The sequence below is a fragment of the Homo sapiens genome, chromosome 5 (genome assembly GCF_000001405.40).
Source record: "Homo sapiens chromosome 5, GRCh38.p14 Primary Assembly".
NCBI lineage: Eukaryota > Metazoa > Chordata > Mammalia > Primates > Hominidae > Homo > Homo sapiens.
This window is the reverse complement of record NC_000005.10, coordinates 144468246-144489669: the sequence shown is the minus strand read 5'-3', so window position 1 is coordinate 144489669 and position 21424 is coordinate 144468246. Positions and strand designations below refer to the sequence as shown.

The 21424-nt window shown below is 37.2% G+C and overlaps 1 protein-coding gene across 4 annotated transcripts in view, besides 1 other annotated feature; it reads right to left on the bottom strand.

Annotated features, from left to right (window-relative positions):
* Positions 1516 to 2017: an enhancer, noted in NCBI's record as "NANOG hESC enhancer chr5:143867216-143867717 (GRCh37/hg19 assembly coordinates)". NCBI's record gives its function as "activates a minimal SCP1, AML or CMV promoter by ChIP-STARR-seq in naive H9 embryonic stem cells {active_cell/tissue: H9 hESC(naive)}" and the evidence as "EXISTENCE:reporter gene assay evidence [ECO:0000049][PMID:30033119]".
* Positions 3984 to 21424, bottom strand: part of KCTD16 (potassium channel tetramerization domain containing 16) — a 314814-nt gene continuing 297373 nt past the window's right edge. For all 4 annotated transcript variants that reach the window (NM_020768.4, NM_001370487.1, NM_001370486.1 and 1 more), the window contains one exon: positions 3984 to 16010. In NM_020768.4, coding sequence (NP_065819.1) covers positions 15556 to 16010 — 455 coding nt within the window. In that variant the 3' untranslated portion in view covers positions 3984 to 15555. The remainder of the gene's footprint in view (positions 16011 to 21424) is intronic.

The following is a 21424-nucleotide window of genomic DNA, read 5'->3' as shown; positions in this document are numbered from 1 at the left end:
TTTTCCTATTCAAACAAGAAGACACCCTTTTTCCTTGTATGTTTTTGTCTTTGGTTGCTATTTACTTATTAAAAAAAGAGTACCACAAAATATGGGAAACAGCTGATATTAACATGTTTGTATATTATTTTGGCTAATTTTTAATCTGCTATATTTCCAGCACTTCCTCAAAGCATCATAAATAGCAATGTAAGATATTCTATAGTTGTACAGACCTACGAGAAGTTATGTTATAGAAAATAACTAAGAGGAAAATGATGCAGTCCTTTCTAAGTCCCCAACTGTTGCTTCAGCTTTCAGAAACTATAGATGAATGAGAATACACACTGCAAACCTCAAGGTGCCAGAGGACATTGTGAACATCATTGCACTATGAGCATAAAGCCTGGGCTTTGCAAAGAGACCTGCAGGTAGCAGCTCCCTAAAGAGTAGATCAAGTTAATTACCATGTTATTCATTTACTCTATCAGGAAAAAAATCTCTTATGCCTCAGGTACACAAAACTGATTATTATTAACATCTTTTTCCCTCCTCACACTCTCTCACATTTGTTAATATCAGGTGACAGAGAGACCAGGACATCCATCTCCTTAATGAAAAAAAAACAAACAAACTGACAGTCTATTATTTCTAGGTACTAAGGGCCACTCTTTCCCAGGGGCAAAGGGAGAAAGAATGATTTGCTGCTAACTGTGTGGCTTCTCTGTCTAACTCCAATAAGTTCACTACTTTCTCACCATTTCCAATCCCTTCCCGTCTATCCATGTTAAAGACAAAACAGAAATTCATGCTGGACTTTCTGGAGCAAAGGGTGCAAGCTCTGGTTAAGGCAGAAAATGAGTCATTAAACTGGGGCATATGTGGAAATTAGCAGGGAAAGGTCTTGGGTTCCCACTTCATCCCCAGGGAAGAAACAGTTAAGGTAGCTCACCCATTTGCAATAGCTTTAGGACCACAGACCACAGTCCACCAGCATTCAACTCACCTTCTCCTTGTCTTTCATTTCCTCCTAGATAGACTTGCTGTTTTCTCTCAAAGACAATCTAAAACGGTCAATATTTGGGACCCACCAAATCCTCCCCACCTCCACCTCTTCCTTCAAATAGGAGACCAGCCAGAGCTGAGGTAAAAATCAGTTGAGAAAGGGATGGCAAAATGGTGCAAAAAATATATCTCCTTCAATGTCCCCAATCACAGACTAGATGAAGAAATTGAGGCTTCAAGGAAAGCGTATGGTGGGGGAAAGGGGCACTGTTAGATAAAGGATGCTGTGATTTATTAAATATGTTTACCCTATACTCCAGACGCGTGAAGAACAAACAGAATAAAAAGAGAGGGAAAGAAATGTATAGAAAAAAAGTAGAACATTCAGGGAGGATGGAGAGGAGAAAAGCTTTATTTGTATCAAAGGTACCTATGTGTCTGTGATTTTGTCTCTTGGAGACATCCTATTTAATTGCTGCATATCCATCAGGAAGCAGACAGCCTTGAAGAGCATGTTTGAACTCAGACCTATCCACAGAGGAAGAGCAATACCATTTCAATATACTAGCTATCTTCCAGTTATGTAGGGTGTTTTTGTTTCTTGCTACCCTAAAGATAGCAAGACTCACATGGTGAGTCAGAAGAAAGAGAAAAACAAGTCAAAGACTGAGTTTAGTCCTCAGAATTTATTTTTGGTGCTTTCATAACATGGTAATAAGAATAAGCAAGGGGTTTATGGGGTGTGCCTGGAGCTCTTTGGCAATCTTAGCATTTGAAAACCCTGCCCTCCTCCTGGGCCTTTGTTGCTGACCTATTGATTTTTTTAAGCTCTGCAACATGAGGCTGGCTTACTGAAGGCTGAAGCTGCTCTGCCTGGCTAAGGGTTTTTATCATCCCCTTATTGAAATGAAGACTTATCATGACCTGTTTCAGTGGCAGCTGCCATTTGGGACAAGATTGATGTGGGCTCTGAATATTTTTTTAGTCATGGGAAGGAATGCTGCCTTTGGGTTGAAATTGGAGGGAAGAAGTATTGTCTAAGCAGTTCGTATTTTTTCCTTTTTCACTGTCCTCGTTGCAAAAATTATGATCCTTCTGATCAAGTCCTGTTCAATTCAATTTATCAGAAGGGTGAGTTTTTGATCAGTGGCTGTGTACAAATCTCCCCAAATCTCTCCAGAGATCTCAAGAGGAGTCTTTCTCCTGATCTACTACCAGTGCTTTCCTGGGCTCCCCATACACCCTTTTTCCACCCATGCTCCCCAGCAAGTAGAGAGAGCCCCCTTGTGTCCTCACCACCCACATCGCAGAATCTTTAGGGAGTGTTCTCAGGACCCTTGATTTTTGGGGGAAACTAGCTGCTGTTCTGGGCAGAACAATGGTGACAAATAAATTCCTTCCTGCTGTTCATTCTGTAAGTCTGCAGCCAACTTTTTCTCTTAATGTTGGTTCTTTACTTGTCTATGTCATTCTGGAACAGTGGAGGCATAGACTTTCCCTGTGCCTAAATTTAATGAAGTTTTGGCTCTATTTAAGCAATTTCTAAGGCTTTGGAGGTCATTAACTTCACAAATCTCCATCACAGTTGCTTTCTCTCTCTCAAGTTTTCAGAGGAAAGCCCACAGCTTTCCACAAAAGAATTCATGGGAAAACTTTTTCTCCAAACCCCTCCATCACTTCAGTCTGTCTAAGCTTCCATCCCTCTTGTGGACTGAAATTCAGCACGGTACAGCATCCTTGTAGCCACTATTGCTAAGGATCAGCTTATTGAGGCAAAATAGACTATCTCATTCCTAAGTGACTTCAGTGGTAACAGAGTTTTAAGGAGGATTACTGTAGACTAGATCCTCACCTTCTCCTGCTTGGCCTTCTGTACCTTGTGGGACTTTTTACTTTGGGTCCATGCAGTATGGATATTGTGACTTTAGAATAGTTTCTCAAGACAAAGCTGTAACTGTTATCTCACTTACATGAGATAGCATATGAGAAGTGTCCTAGCTTGATTCCACAGATGCAGTTCTAGACCCAGAACCATCTCTTCCTCTCTGGGTCTTAACTTTCCCTTTCTGTACAAGAAATACAAGGAAGGGAATGGGTTAAATAAACATTTCCCAAAGTGTGTTTCTCAAAACCGGAAGAAAGTTTGGTGAGACCAGTCTGGGAGATTCTGGGTTAAAGTTTGAAAGTTTTTGTTTTGTTTTGTTTTGTTTTCACTGCAAAACTCCCAGGACTTTAAATATAATAAAGAGCATTTTAAAAGTGCAAGGTGGAAAGTGTAAAAGAGATTACATCTCTCAAACTGTACGTTGCCCAATTCCTTCCATTTTTTCAGTGCATATCATGGGGCAAGTATGCCACCAAAAACACTTCACAACAGCAAAAGGCTGAATTATTTCTAAAGCTCCCCCAAGCTGTAAAATTATTTTTTGTAGAATTTTCCCTTCTGATTAAAAAACATAATGCTTAACACTATTAGCAATGTCATAAAACGGTAAAGTATAAAAAAAAGGATTCAGATATTCAGTGTTGAAGCTGAATTCCTTTTTAAAATTTGCATTTTGGAATAATAGTAATAAGAATGGATAAGGGTTATTAAGCAGCTATTTAATGTACAAGATACTGTGATAAGTGCTTTATATAGATTATCTAATTTAACTCTCACAAGAACCTTGTGATATATCCATTATTTCTATTTCCTATTTACAGATAAGGAAACTGGTGTTTCAAGAGGTTTGAAAAATAGTACAAAGCCATCCAATTAGCAAGAGACAGAGGCAACGCCTCCGCCTATTACAGTTTAATTCTAAGTATAATAAATAACCAATTCATTAAGTCTTCTCCTTTTCTGTACCCAAACTCAGCAAGCTGCCACAACAAACCAGAAATAAACTAATTGCAATGGTAATTATATTTCATCTAAATTTCTTGAGTTAGCATAAAATAATGTTGACTCATCAGTCTCTTAGGTATACTGGAAATAGATATATATAACAACTAAATGTTACCAAATGATTTATTATGATTTGTGCTAAATTACAATGCATATGAAATGGAGTCATTTATGGAAACACATAAAAATAGTTACCTATTCTGTAATTATATTCACACAAGAATCTGAAATATAGTTTCTGTTCTTCCTTTTAAAATATATCCACAGAATGACTTTTGTAGTTTTCACCATACAATTTTACAATACTGATACTGCACCTGTATCATTTACCATACTATAAGAACTAAACAGAATATGAAAGCAGTTAATAGCAAATTAATTTTTTATATCCATCAATGAATCCAAAGAAAAGAGTAGTTTGTTTCCATTGGCAGTGAGAATAGATGGTAGTAATTCGCAGTGTAGATATTGCATACATAGATATGTATGTATATATTTATATGTTGCTCAGGGCTGTTCCATCTATAGGCGGTTGCCTTCTGAGTGAACCAATGATTGCCAAAATGATGTGCAATTCCATTGGGACAATTAGTAGTAGCATTTTCTATCATGTTTTTCTCGCAAAAACAAATAGGTAAGAAAGAAATACAGCAGGCGAAGATCTACAGTGTTACATCCCAAGGTAAAAACAGTTAGAGTTATTAGAGTCACAGTAGTTTATGTATATTTGCTATTCACAGACTGCAGACTTTTTGCTGAATAACTGAGCTGCTGAGAACTGACGACATGTAGACATGCATTCATGTGAGTCCATAATTAATGATGTTTATACTGTAATAAGCACATTCATTTTAACACCAGTCAGTAAACAAATTCCTTTAAAGTTTGAGCTAAATCTGCTATCACAATTACGCACAAAAATAACCTGTAAACAATATGACGTTACATTTATGTACAAGCGAACTGCATTGGAAAGGAGAAGAGGTAATTTCATTGGGTGTCACTTGTTATTCATCAATGTGCAACAAACTGACCCAAGTCATCAAGTGCTTGAATGACGTCAGGAAAAAGTAACATGAGCAAGGCCCCAATAAGTCACCACTCAGCATTAGTACCAGCAAAATTCAGAATCCTCTATTTGTGGTGACATCACATTCACAGCATCAGAAACAGATGTCACAAGGAGCTTGATAATCCCTGGTCAGATGCACTTGAAATTTCCAGGTAACCTGATCAACAGGGTCTTTAACTTTAAAAGTGTAAGGGGTGGTGCTGATGTTATGTAAAAAAGTCAATTTAATTTGGACGAATTATTTTGTGGGTTAGGTTCGACCCAGTGCTCTGGTTTTGAAAGACATGGGGAAGAGGAATTCAACTAAGATTACTAAGTTCCTTCAGCCAACACAAAGATTCCTGATTTTACAGACTAAGCTGGGTGTCATTGCCAGTCTAAGGAGTGACTCATTTAAAGCAGATTCTATTAACAGATTACAGTGGGACTCTCTGAAGTGCAGCTCCGCTAAGTTTGTGTTTCTGTGTGTCTTAACTAGAATACCTTTCCAATTATTCATGAATCAATTTCCTTAAAGAAAAAAACAGGGTAATTAATGAGAGATTTTGACATCCGCCACCCATGATTTACAAAAATACATTAGTTTGTCCGTCTCTAAACTAAGCAGTATATTTTAAGACAAATTTTCCTGATTCAACTTTCTCCTTTGGAATTAAAAATAAATAAATAAAATAAAATGACAGAGGAACATGAAGTTAGGATGATGTAAAACGTCCCCTCTGCTCCAAAATTTTGGGGAAAAAACAATCGCTCCTTCAAATGTCCTCAAACCTAATTAGAACATTTCATTGCTTTAAAAAAATGGATTTTCTTTCTTATGTTTTTAAGACAACATCTTTAGAAGGCTGGTGAAAAAAGGATTCAGTGACCGTGCTTAATTAGTTTACAAGTGCTTCTGTTGTGTGGGCACACCTGACAGATCTCTGGGAGGAGGGATCTGTGCTAGGACTATCAGTTGAAGGCATGGGCTTGTGTGCATACAAACTGATCCCAAGGAGCAGCAGGGAATCTCTGTTTGCATAGGTTGACTTTAAATATTTTTCACATTCCCCAGTAATATGCAAAGCATGTGGCTATGAATGAGTACACAACTTACTGTATTCTTAAGATGGCCAAAATTCGTTAATTTGGTTGTTATGTCTGTAAAATGCCAAAATAGGTAAGTAAGGTTTTCTTGTATTTGACTTACATTGTTCTTTCTTTGAGCAACTATTTGGGTATTGTATAAACAGACTTCAAGTGTTATTTGCAGGAGACTAAAACTTTGTGATTATTACAATGTGCCCATGACTTTTAGTATCTATTTACAATATGCATATTATAAATTATTTACTATAGCTTTAAATAAATAGATAATTAGCTCCACCGATAAATCATGTAGGGACACAGGAACCCTCATCAGTGATAAAGTGAAATTAACCAGGATATAATAAATTAACCAATAGGTAAGTGAAGCACCACTAGGGCAATAACCATTGAATTTGTGCTATCATACACCTACATTTTTCTTTTTCTTCTTAAACATTATCACTGTTCATTTGGTAGTGTTTTGGGTTTTTTCTGGTTTGGTTTTTTTTTTTTTTTTGGAATGAAGAAGTGTGAAAACATGTAGTTTGAAATTCCAACAAATGGTTTGGATAAGAGAGCCAGTTTTTACAAGTTTGGTGTTTCCTTAAATGCACTTTTTTTGGTTTATTATTCATAGATATTAAATCTAAATATTTTGTTAATGTTCTCGGCACCATAAATAAATATATCCACTTTTAGTGGAAGAGAATTTTGGAAATTAGAACTATATTAGACCGTCTAGGAAACCAAATATAAATTGTAATAATAATAAGTTCTCCAAACTGAAAATTCCAAAGTTTTAAACTATGAGCTTTGTTTATGGGTGTATACATATGTACAGCTATAGATATATATTTATATATACACATTAAGATAGATGTACACACATATGTACATATATATACATAATTTTATACATAAACACAAAACACACATAAATACACACACTCCTCACACACACACACTCACACATGCATGCACGTATTTCGGTGAAGTTTCTTTTCTAAAGCTGCCTCTCTTTTTCCCAACTTATAACAGTAACAATGAGATGCTGAGGGCAGTTAATCACATTTGGGCTTTTGACCTGTCTTGAATAAAAACCTGAGACTGTTTAACAAGCCAAAAGATGAAAATAGCAGATACCTAGATACACTCATGCATAAACACATATAAACACGCTCATACACCTATTTTACTTCTCCTGAAGCTTGCCCTAGTGACCTGTGTGCAGCACAGCAAGCAATTGCAGGTGTCATTTTCTCCAGACGTGGAAGCTAGCTTATCACGGTGAGTTTCTTAGGGTATCAGTACTCACCAGATACTTGTTCTACAACATTATTGCCCCCTTGAAAATTTTTGTGGCATAAAGTACAAGCTGTAGCAAATCTGCCCTTTCTTTACCTCCTAGGCAGATACAAGTCACAAACAAACAAAAAAAACTGATGACTTTTAGGAAGGATGTCAGGCTGGGATCTCACCTTGTTTAGCATAGGAGAGAGGAGAAACAGGCAAAGTTCAGAGAACAGAGAGAACAGATTGTACAAAGAGATGGTTAAGCCAGCAGCCTTTAGAGTCTAATAAACTCAGAGGAAAATCTGGCTCTGCCACTTTTTAGCTATGAGCCTTTATGTGCTACTTTATCTTTCTGAGCCTCACTGACCTCATCTGTAAAGAGAGGATAGTGGTAGGGCTTACTTCATTGGATTATGATAGGATTAAATGAGATAAGGCATGAAAAGTACTCAGTAGAGTTTCAGGTACATAATAATAAATCTGTAATATATATTATTTATAACTGGATATTTAAACCATAATTCTAGAATACTGATCAGAACTACATATAGAAATAATGTTAGTCTAGGAATTGAATGAACTTAATTCAAGTTCTTTACTCCAAATTTGATTGCTTAGACATTATAATGCTCACGACAGTGACCTATATATAGTATGTACCCAACAAATATTTGCTGGATATATGCATAAACAAACAAATAAATGACCGATTTAAACTTTCTGGGTCCTTAGTTTCCCTTGTATAAAATGGAATTAGAATGACCCTACCATAATTCCATCCCTGGGATATTGGTATGATACATTAAAAGAAAAATGTCAAATCATTTCAGACACAAATTGTGTTCTAATAAAGTCAGTGTATATAAACTAAACAATAAGACTCAGTAGCAAGGACTTGTGCTTAGACTTGTCACATGTTTGGAAACAAGGACTTGGGAGCCACCCCTGGGTGAGTCTAGGAAACATATTTTCCAATAAGATTTTACCATCCTCAGAGAGGGAATATTCAACTCAAAGTAACAAAGGGTATGATAAGCAGTTACAGACAATGAAATCATTGGCCTGCTCAAAACACTTTCTCCCCCTTACTAGTTTCATTTCTGAGAGCACTTTGTGGTCTACTGTTGATCAGCTTGGGAAACATCTTTAACAGGATCATGTAAACTGAAAAGGATCCCAGAGTGCTTCACAACAAACACATTTAGCTGTTGAAAGATTGACAACATCACTGAAGTATAATTTTTCTGAGGCAGAAAGACTGAAGTAGAAGAACACAAGACACCTAAACTACAGGCCTTCCTCATCACTACCAGATCCCTGGAAAAAGTTTCCTATTTCTGTAAATCTCAGCTTTCACATCTGCATAAAGAGATAATTATGTCTAACTTCAAATAATTTCCATACATATAATTTCTATACACATTTAAACTGGTTCCGATTTTTATTTTTCTATTTTATCCTATTTATTGACCTGGAAGACTTCCCGTATATGGTACAGAAAAAAAAATGCCTTGACAAATTTAAACTCATGCTTAATTTAGAGTTTCTCAAGCTAAGCACTATTGACATTGTGGGCTGGATAACTTTTTGTTATGGAGGGCTTTCCAGTACACTGTAGGATCTTTAGCAGCATCTCTGGCCTATACCCATTAATTGTCAGTAGCACCCCTCAAATCATGAAACAAAAAATATCTCCAGGCATTGCCAAAAGATCTCTGGTATGCAAAACCACTCCTGGTTGAGAGCCACGGCCTTAAATGCACATAACCCACATGAATCAAGGAGAGTTTCCTGAAATTGTTTCTCTCTGTCTCTCACCTAAAGGGTATAGATAAACCACTGATCACTGGCTGCAATTAAAAAAGACTACTGATGATTAATATGTATTCTATGTCTATCTTAGCTTTCAAAAATACATTCTTTTTTTGAATAAGATGCTACTCTTCACTATATACATGGATATGAGTTTGATTTTTCCCCAGAAATTAGTATTGTTTGAATTTCACATGAGGAGACAAGCTCAAGCTTTACTTAACATTCTCAAGGACTGACATCCACAGTAGAGACAAACTATTGTGCTGAACTAAAAAGCTGTTAAACTATGTAACCAAAGGCTTTTTCCATGCACTCGGATAGCACTCCCACGCACATTATCCACTGAGCTGACATAAACCTAAAAATTGCACATGGCCATGTGCACACACACACATGCACACTAATGTAATTTGAAAGCAACTCTCATTACTTTACTAAGCATCAGTTCTGCTTCCATTTGTGATGGATGGAGACCACATCAGCAGGAAGAGAATATAAAGTTATGTTGATTTTTCACTGTGCAAATGCAGGTAAATTATCTAAAGGTCAATTCTAAAAATAAACTGATAAGATGGAGGAGGTTGCTGGAGACAAGAGACTTAATAAACCCTCTGGTTGGCATATAAGTGTTTTACAAAGCTGATTAACAGGAAGATTACCCCCACCCTCCTCCAGGACAAGCCCTTGATAGTTGCTAGGCCAGGCACATTTTTCTTTATCCTTTTAAAAGTAAATTTCCTAAATAATGCAAGGATGACAGTCTGGGAACTTAACATTTTTTACCTAATTGGCAACAAAATTTGTTCACAAGCAAGAGAAACATTTTTTGAACATTAGGAAGCCGGGACAGAAAAGGGATCCCACTTAGGAAGTAGAGGAGAGAGGGCAACAAACTGAATCAAATTTAACCATTTTTGTTTTAATCTTGGCCAATTTAACATAATTAGTTGCTCATGTTCATCAGTTTCATTAAACATCCTTCACTTTCCTTTGGCAATATTTACTCAAATATTCACTCATGATCATGACAAGCATGATCTCTATTTTCATCTTTCTTATAACGTGGGAATTTGGTATGTATCCAGTTACTCTGTTAAATGAATAGGGTCAATTGGATCATTGAAACCCTTTTGAATTCACTCTTTCTTGCTTTCTTTTTCTTTTTCTTTTTTTTTTTTTTTTGCATTTATTCTTACACATCAGTTTGGCTTCAAGTTTTTAGTTAATGTCAGGGTTCAGGATCTTCAATTATCTGAGAGCTTCATAGTCCTGATTGAGTCAAATTGGACAAATTTAGCAGTTCAATGGCGCAGGATTTGATTGGTTAAATATAGCTGAATTCACTAATCATTCCATATTCATTTTGGTTATATTTTATGTGCAGTTAATGGAATCACCTTTGGGGCCATATACACCATTAAATTATGGATCACTTTCAATTTCCTCCCACTCATACTAAGTAAGGGCCTAGAAATAAACAACTCTCCTTGGGAAAGATCATTATTTTTATTTCTTGTTGGGTATCATTAGAATACATCTCACTCAGAGATATGCTCCCATCTACCCAGAGCTAAGACTATAATAATGCAGGCTTTTATTTTGGGAAAAAACCCATACACATACACATACACATACACACACAATATGGAGAAAGGGTTATGGTTGACAGACAGCAGATGAAATGGCAAAGAATTCATGAAAATCTATTCTGCCCTAGTCTTAGGATATTTTTCTTTGGGTGTTTTCTCTTAAGATAATGAATAATGCATGCTTTGACTTATTTGTAGTGGGAAGAAAGTAAGAGAAAATGAGGAAGTGCTTCTAAGGAGTAAAGGAACTCTTGGCCTCTGCATATTCCCTAAACAGCAGAATTTTTCAAAGTAAGGTCTATAGACAATCCTCATCAAAATTATTAAGGAGACTAGCTCAAAATACAAATTTCTTTGCCCTGCTTCAAGTTTCTGAATCAGACTCTTTGAAGTTAGGTTGAAGGAATCTGCATTTTTACAAGTGCTACACATGATTTTTGTGCATACTGAGTATTAAAAAACACTATTAAAAAGTTTGCAATGGAGATCACTGGAAAAAGAATCTCCATTCCAACGTATACAGCAAGATGAGAATAATAGGCATTTCAAACAAATAAGCTCTGTGTTTGCATCACAAGGCTGTGATTATTAAAGTTTAAGACTCTATTCTTTCAGCAGGGGTAGAGAGCAATAACCATTTCGTCTGAAACCAGAATGATGAAGGCAATATAAATCAAACCTATTCCAGCAGGTTTCATTTGGTCTAATTTCTCTGCAGATATTAATCATTATACAGTTCTATACAAATGACATGTAACTCCATTGTAACTCAGGATACAGAATGTTCACTCTGGTTCTTTCTCTAGTGTGCTATTTTGACAATATAAAAGAAAATAAATAAATTGAAACTGTGGGGCATCAAGATTGCAAGACACCAACAATACCAAGACATTAAAGAGAGAAATGGCCCATGCTAAACCTATAAACCAGCATGCAAATTGGCAAAAACATTTATCTGCCACAGAGTCACCATAAGGAAAAATAAACTCCCTTCGTTTTTCTTTTGAAAATTGGTATGTCAGGTGGAGGTGACAAAGAATTCTTCCTAAAAGTTCACAGAAAGAGTATTATTAATTCTAGTAAAGATCATCTAGAAGACCAAGGCTAGTCAAATTCCATGGCATGGTATATAGTGGCAGAAAATACCAGCACTCAAATTCACAGATCTACACTATAGTAGATACAAAGTTGAAGGTTGGAATTGTAGCAAAGGAAAATGTATAAGAATCAAAATTTGGTTCCCATTGTGGGAGCTGGTGTCAAGTAATTTTACAAAACACCATACATGCCTTCCTTTTGTCTCATTGTAACATGTTTTGTCTGACACCAACAAAGGATCCTCAGAGAAGAATCTAAAGCCCAGGAAAGCAAAAGTAATCCAGAAGCGCAGGCAGTAATGGGGCCCAGAACAAGCAACACACCTGTGCCTATGGATAAAGATTCCTCTGAATCTAACAAGGCTAATTGAAAAGAGAAAAATTCCATGTCAACATCCCTTAATAAATGTGTTCCCCCAAAATGAATTGGTTGGAATAGATACAACTATAAAGGAATAAAGAGCAAAGGGAACGCTTATTATTTGTGCATTGTTCCCCCTTTTATTTTAATTCACCATGCATGCATTTTCAGTAAGATAACTGTGCCTATAAATACAAAGGATAACATCAGTGCATATTTTGGAAGCCACTTCATTTCATTATTTTTTGTCAGCATTTCAGTGCAATTTTTTCCTAGCAGGGGAAAGAAAATCACAATACCATATGATCTAGTAGTTTTACATTCCTGTCTTCCCCTTTTCCTGCTGAATGCAGATCAGTTCATTTTTGATAGTGGGTAGAAGGACTTTGTAAATATGTTTCTGACTTCAGACAACCCACATACCTTTAGGGAATGATCTCCCAAAGCTCACTGGATTTTAGTATCGCGGGATTTCCCAGAAGGCAATCTAAGTTGGGGCTCTACACATGTGATTCCCCATTCATTGTATCCACTCAATACTACTAACTTCTTTATATTAGCAATTTATGGCCCTTGTCATAACCAATGTTCGAGAAGTAAACCATATATATTGTTTTCTTCAGAATTAAACAAAAAGTTCTAAAAACTATTTTAACTTCAGGGAAACATGCCCGAGTCACAGTGACTACCAGAGTTACTAGAGCATGTACTCTTATAACTCACTTACCCAGAACTCATTTCCAGTGTTGCAGGCTACCTGGACCTCACTTGATAACTCCACTCAAACTAGGTACTTTAAGCCTCCTCAGAGCCTTTTACTGGCCAGGTCTATGTTCATTTCTATATAAACACTCACACAAATAAATGCCATGCTGTTGTCTTAGTTACTTGAATATTTTACCATGGGATGAGTGCCAGTCGAGAGGTGGCCCAGAATAAAAATATTGCTGTTGTGATGGTTTTAAACAGGTTTTCTATTCCAGCTTTGTTCACTGGATGTATAAGGAATGTCAGAGCAGAGAAAACTCATGACAGGTCAGGGGTCAGAGGAACACTGCCACGAACACTCCTTTTGCAGTGTTTAATTTCCTGTTTAAAGAATGTAGTAGAAATATTGGGTTGACTATCATCTTAATTCTTTACTCTTATAAGGGTATCTCTCTATCTTGAGGCCATTACAGTCAGGTCTGAAATTTAAGGAAGTTGGAACTTTGGCCATTTTAGTTAGACCCCCAAAGTCTTTGACAGTACTTCCAGTGACAACACAATAATCATTTGACCAAAGTGAGTTTCAGGATATTTTCCCCAAATTCAACTTCTTGACCCATTAAGCTCTGTGATTCTTTGCAAGATCTTCTGTTATTAGGATGATGGTATTGCCATGTGCTATCAAGAAACATTGAAAAGAATCAAGACATACTGGTAAGTTTACAAACAAAGCTATGTTGTAGTTAAGACCAAATATCTGCTAATATATTAATACAGAAAAGAATACCACTTAAATTCATAAATTATAATTCTCTTGACAACTCAACTCCCAAGATAAACTTTCTTTTTCACTTATGTAAAACTTTCAACTCCATTCAAACCTTCAGGACAAGGAAACATTAGCTGAGTCTGTCATCCTAGTGTGAAGGCGAGAATTACAAAAATTCAGAAAGATATTCATATACTAATCATCACTAAGAACAGAAATCAAGACAGAACATCTTACATAATAAATGTGCATCAATGAAAGATTTCAAAAGGAAGAAATTAGTCATTGTTTTCCTCCTACAGATATCATCCAATTGCCTTTATTACCTGTGATACACATACACACATGCACACACACGCAATAAAACAAATTAGGAGTGCTTGGCACACAACTATTAATTGACAAATTATTTTTTGGTTACCACTGAAATGCATGAGGAATGCTGAAAATAAAACTGGTCTTTTAACCTTCTTGTAGCACAAGTCTATGAAAGAGCTATTGGTACCTTAGTAAAATACAGAGTTACATGGACGGATGGCTATTAACAGTTTCTTTTTGGCTGTGTCTATACAAGTCAGGATGTAATTGAAAAAGATAGTTTCATTTAGAAATCTGAAACCTTAACTCTGGAGCTTCAGTTACCTTGTTGGGTTGTTACAGACATCATAAAAATGACACAGCTAAATCCTAGCATGGGCACAGCCAAAGCCCGAATCCCAAAGGCAAACAAAAACGGCTACAAGCAAGTAAAAATGTAGCTTTGTAGTTTAAAATTTTTATAAGAAATTATTAGGTTGTGTGTGGAATACAACTTTCTCTAAAACAAACAAAAGGCCGGACCCTTATTCAAGTACTGTGTGTTGTCCTTAGTTCCACAACAACACAGGAACACAGAACTTAATGTGGATTATGTGGAAAGGCCACACCATTAAACTGTGGGCAGTAAGAACTCTGAAAACATGGAGAAAAGGGTGATAATTCAGTTCAGGGTAGAGAAGGCTGAGTGTGGAGTCATTTAGCAGAAAATTTTGTGGATATGAATGTTTGATTTTTTTAACACAAGGAATGTTTGACCAGCTCTCCTCATCCTCTCTTAATGCAGACAAAGAGCAAAGCAGTAAAATGGAGCCTGAGGGTATTAATTTCACAATAAGGAATACAATTTGTTGATGATGAGAGTCATTTGATGTTAGAAAGTGTTGTGAAGAAAGGCTGGGAAATCTTCCCAAAAGAATTTTAAGAAAGAGTCAGAAGCTCATCCATCTGAAATATTCTAAGAGAGGGCTGCTGGGAGCAGGAGCACAGCCCTTGGGAGGTCTAGGCCCTGGCATCGTGTGCGTCATGTGTATATACATACTTAGTTGTGCTTGTGTTGCACAAATACTCATGCATACGGAGTCAATATAAACTGGCACATATAGATTTGAGTGAAAAGTCATATAAATCTGCCATTCCCCCCAACCCCATAAACAAAAGGAAAAACCAAAATTAAAAATTCCAAACTTATGCCATTGGGCCAGATCTTTTTCTACCATACCCTCATTCAAAGGAGGGAGGTAGAAGGATGAGAGAAAAAACCCAGTTTGGGATAAATGACTCCCAAGGCCTCTCAGCTACTTTTACGTAGCTGGCTCTCATTATATATAAGATAGTTAGCACATGGGACGAAGTAAACAAACAAATAACTAAAAAAGATTTTCTTGTACTTCCACATCTAGAAAGAAATCTACCCTGTGGATTTACATGTTAAGGTGAACTAGGTAAAGTAGGCAGTAGTATATCAATGGACTATTGTGTTCTAAGAAATGTGCATCATTAGTTGTATTTTTTTCCTTTAAAATATGAATTCCTTTTAGGAGGTTAATTTCAAAATGACTTTTTTTTTTCTTTTCCCGCCCCCAGCCCTCCCTTATAGATGATACTTCCTTAAAAGTTCAGATTGCCAAGGATGTTTTCTCTCAGGAAACCGATCTGGAATTTTGATTTTTAGGAAATCCTGGATACATTTCTCCAGCTCCTCCTCAATTGAGAGCTTTTCTTTAACAGCTTTTTTTTTGCTGCTCATGTTCGATTCCCTGGAGCCTGAAGTCAGAGTCCGGAGTAAGTCGCTTTTCCGCCGCATCTCTGACTGTTGGATCAGCTGGACAGGGCCCTTCTTGATGGGACGGTCCAGAGTCTGGATGTTGGTCTGGCGTGTCACGGGACCACAGATGACCGTCTCCTGGGGAGAGCTGGCCTCAGACTGGCTGTCGCAGCTAGATGTGGAGAGGTCATTGCAAGACGTGCCGCTCTCCCCTTCTTTGTCACCTTTGCCATTCTTGCAGCAGCAATCGCAGTGTGAGGGTGACCATCTGGAAGGCTCACCTGAAAAGAAAGCAAAGGACCCAAAGGATTAATGCCAGCCAGGTCAGTTGGAGTAGCAGTATAGCACTTGGACATACACAGAAACACACATAAGAGAAGCATCGCAGAACCATGCTTTTAGAAAAAGTGGGGTGGCACCCAGGGTGGGCTGCAACAGGTGCACCCAAAAGCCAAGTCCACGAGGGGAGGAAATTAATGATGGCATGCTATATAAGAGGAAATATAGTATAATGCTTAAGCCCATGAGCACGGGAGTCAGAAATACCCAGCTAACATCATTTATTAAGCTTGTCACCTTGGCACATCCCTTAGATTTTCAGTCAGTTTCCTCATCTGTGGTATAAGGGTAATAATTTTCCTACTATCTGGAGTTATAGGAAGGAGTTAGATAAGTCAAAATTCTTAATGCAGTATCTCTCTCACAGTCAGCTTTCAATAAAAGCTGGCCAATTTTCCATAGCTGATGGAAAGCTCCAAGTGACAACAGTCAGGTACAACAGGAGGAGACTATGAAAGCAGAATGACAGTAACCAGGGAAAGGGGACTGACTCTGTGCCTGTCCCTAACTGGGTACCCCTCAGCTCCTTGGTTCTTAACAAAAACTCTGTTAATTCAGTAGTTCCAATTTCAGTCTCCATACAAGGAAACTAAGACCCTAAGAGTTTGAGAAACTTGCCAGAGTTTGTACAATTTGAAAGTGGCAGAGCTGAGATTTGAATACAGATCTTGCAAGGGCCATAACCATGCCAATTAACCATTTTATTCAGTATCCTTGTTAGTAAAATCGTTGCTTCTACTTCAAAACAATTTTCAAGTTATAACTTCTCTGAATTTCTTGTTAACCTCTCCTCAGAAGTGTTTGCTTTTTTCTCCTCTCTGAATTATAGTTCTACTTTGTAAATACCTCTATTATTGCACATGTTACATTTTGTTATATATCATATTAGCTACTAGGCCATGAGCTCCTTAGTATGAGCATAGTGAAGTATCCGTTGTTGTAATACCAGCAAATATGCCAAGGAACAATGTAGAAATTCAATAAAAGACCATATTATAACTTATAAGTACCTGGATCTAGCCACACCTGAAGCTAGTCTTGCCAGTGAGCTTTTCATTTATATGATAAACTATATTCTGTGTCATTTTTTAAGCCAATATGAGTTCCTCTTCTCCCTTTCCTCTGAGTCTTGACTCATAATGCTGCATTTAGCAATTTGAAGGCAGAGCAATGTTGCAGATGCACAGTGGCTCCGTGAACCAGGAAGAAAAAGTCCACAATCATGGCACAAAGCAACTTCCTAAAAATAAATCACTGCCCTCCACTTCCACCCTCTGAACAGCCACAGTCTTCCTGGAGTCATAAACTTAATACTATTTACCGATCATGTATTACATGCTGGGCACTTCTACAATTCTTTGTACTTAATCCATAAAAGTAAAGAGAACAAATTCCCTTATGATATTGAGGACAAGGATAACGTAGTACCTTTATACAGTTTTAAAGGAGACCCCATTTTGATTTACACTATATCTTATTCTCATGAATAATAGGTCACATTATACAGGATGTTACCTTATTGCCATTTCTAATATAGTCAAAGTAGAGAAAACTTAGAATGAAAACTATTAGGAAAATTACATCCTATCTTCTTGTATAAAGTCTGTTCTTTACATATTAAATGATTTAAACATACATACCAACTTATCTCCATATAATTTTTTAAGAGAAAGTAAAACAAAAGTTTCTATAAATCACAACTCCAGAAGTATCCCTAAATTATACCCACTCTTTCAAGTCATTTTCTAAAATGTGACTGAGTAATCATCGTATTTATAGAGCCATTAAATTAAATGCAACAATCCAATTAGCCAAAAAGGAATCACAACAGCTGTATTGTTCTAGTTATGTCATGCTATTATACATTTTCCATGCAATACAGAAACTGTTCAGCATATACCAGCTGGTGACTGAAAATATCAGTAATAGAAAATGCTTTCTGTCTGCCAGCATACATTTTGAGGGGATCATTTTTTACCTTTACTAGGCAGAATATGCTTCTGCTTCCCCAAACTCGGCAACCCCTATACCAAAATGACTTAACTGAGAAATGGTTCCAATGAATTGCGCTGAAGAAAAGTAATCACATCAAACCAGAGACAATCTGGTTTTAAACCTTTTTGGAAAAGTGTAGAAATTGAATTTAGCTTTTACAAAAAGAACAGGAAGAGGGGAAATACAAAAAGGAAGAAGAGAAGAAATATATGCTGGGATACACCTATTACCTTAAAGCAAGATTACAAAATATTTTGGCCATAAACCCTGCTGAACAAGTAGAGAAGCAATTGCTGTCTTTTTGTCCAAGAGTCAGTCACCTTCCCCATGGTAAGCTTATTTCATTCAATGGACCCAGAAGGAAACTTGAGTCTTCTACAAAAGTGTTTGTTTGGGGTTTTTTGTTGTTGTTTGTTTGTTTTTTGAGACAGAGTCTTGCTCTATCGCCCAGGCTGGAGTGCAGTGGTGCTACGATCTCAGTTCACTGCAACCTCCACCTCCTAGGTTCAAGTGATTCTCCTGCCTCAGCCTCTTGAGTAGCAGGGACTACAGATACCTGCCACCACGTCCGGCTAATTTTTTGGTATGTTCAGTAGAGAGGCGGTTTCACCATAGCCAGGCTTGTCTTGAACTCCTGACCTCAAGTGATCTGCCCGCCTTGGCCTCCCAAAGTGCTGGGATTATAGGTGTGAGCCACTGCACTCAGTCTTCCAAAAGTTATTTTAACAACACAAACACCATCATGTGAAAAATTTCTGTATATTCATGTGGAAAGTTGCATGAAGCCCTCACTATGTGCCAAGCCAGGAACCTGGCAATGGTGCAGTTATTTCCTCCCTGAACTGCTGGGATGATCATGTATTTAAATGTCATCTGGGATCCTCCTGCTACCAAACAGAAGTATTGCTTTCCACTTATTCTGGGCACTATCACTATCAAAGGGGAATTGAACAACTTAATTCTAGTGGAGGTTGTCATACTACCATGTTTCCAGATTTTATGAGAACATTTGACTGTTTTACTTGCCATTTATTTTGGCAAGATAATTTATGAGATGGCTTCTGAAGTCTATGTATTATATTAAACCAAAAAAGAAAGATAGGATCAGAAGGGCCCCATCCAGCTGATCCAATATTATAGGATTAATAGTACTACAGCCCAACTGTAGTCCTACATGAAGGGTTGTTGTGAAGTTTGAAAAATAATCAAATGTGAGAAGATAACCACCCCATATCTTTTCTAGGAGCACTGTCTGCCTGACTACCCTCTTCCCAAGAACCTAATTACAAGCAAAGAGGTTTTAAATCAGAACACAGAAATGACACATGTAAGCTCCAGACCCCTTTGACCTTGCAGTCCCACTGTGATATGCTTACAAGTCTTGGGAAGTGTGGAAAGATCTATGAAAGGTCAGTTCTGTAACACAAAGTATTCTAGAATCCCCCCAATTATACCAAATAACGATCTCATAAATACCTTAGTACTTCAAGTTGCAATGTATTTTGCTTCCAATTTGCTGAAGTTTCAATACTGGCTGGAATAATTCTCTCCATTTGGGGAGAAAATAGGTTACAATTGATTAGCCAGATGTGGGAAGAAAACCATTTCATTCCAAGAAAAGTCTGATTTATTGATATTAAAAAAGCAGGAAATCTATTGCCTGTTTGGGGAGTTATTATCTAGTTGCTGGTCAGAGAGCCTAATAGCTCTACCTTGTTTTTTAATAAGTCATTGCTGAATTTGTTGAATATTATATGATTTTTGGTGCCTGCTGCATAACAGTGGCTTGATAAATGTTTGATGAATAATCAGTGAATGAGCTGAACACATATGTTGAATTGTATCAAGTTGATAACATGGCAGTGCAGGTCTCAGGCGCCAGAGTCAGACTTCACAATTTGTCACCTATGAGACCTTACATAAATTACTTCAACTCTCTGAGCCTCAGTTTACTCATCTGAAGAATAAGGCTGTTAACAGCATTCTCTTCACAGGGCTTTGAAGAAAATTAAATGAGATAGCTAATGTAAAGGATGTTTCATAATTTGCGGCACACTAAGTATTCCATTCAATTACACATCTTTGTTTTACTACAATGCTGACGCTATTCCATATAAGGGAAACAAATCAGGGGCTTGCTATATAATTATAATGTTTCCATCAATACACTACACAGCTAATACTTAGATCTAGCTGGAATATCACATTAGTAATGACACCGATGTTACAGCTGGATGCCTCAGGAAAATGTGTATTCAGTAGTTAGTAATGTCTGCCTCAGCACAGGAATGGTGAGTGAGTGACCACAAGCGCATACTGTGTCTGGGACATGGTGTGTGAACAGAGGATGTTTTTGGAAAAAAAGGAGTCTTTATAGTGCAGTGCTTAAAATTTCACAAATGGATAAGCCCTTCAGGATAAAGATTGACTTGAAAACACATCAAATAAACTTAAATCCAGAACGGGAAAGAATTTGCATTTTGGATTAAACAGGGAGAGGCAGGAAACTAAGTTATATTAAGTCCTTAAAGCCCTAAATCTTCAAGCATTTTACAACTTAGAAAAACTGAGGACTAATCAAGCAAATTGTATGATTAGACTTGGCCCCCTTCCACTATAGACCTCACTGTGGCAGTTCTTACTGATAAAGAAGAACTTAAACAGAAAAGACTACAGAATATTTCTCCTCTATGAAAAATTCAAACCGAGCTGAGTGAAACATGACTTAGCAAACTCACAAAGTGCTTATGCATTTTTAAAAGCTCTGCAATGTACCCACACTTCAAATTTTCCGCCTGCTAATGGTTGTGAGCACAATGCACATCATTTACTGCAACAGCTGGGAAAACTGCTTTCCCCTGTCTTCTCTGTCAATGATGTAGGAGCCTGCCAGTCTGGGAGCTAGGTGGCCAGATTTAATTTATCGAGGCTGCTGAAAGGCTTTCTTGGTATCCCAGTTGAAAAGTCAATAATGGCCAAATTGATGTTTTTATAATTCTGCTAACCTTGAAAACGATATTGCATAGTGGAGATTGGGAATAGGCAGGCTATGAGAGCTTCTGAAAAAAGTTTGTCTTCAAGCTTGACAATCATCATTTCTTGCTTGCAGTTGACCGTTTTTACTCATGAGCAGTTGGTCTTGGAGGGGCCCAGTGGGGGCTTCTATTGAGAGATGGTTAGTACGGGCAAGAACAGACAGTTAAACTAGCCACGCATCCATCAGAGTCAGTCAGGAACACAGGCACCTCACCAGTTACCTGAACGGGAAGAATTTAACGTAAGTATTGGTTAGACAGACATGGGAGAAGTGAAAATGCAAACAGGTAACAGTGAAGAGACAAAGATAGTGGCTGCAGGAGGT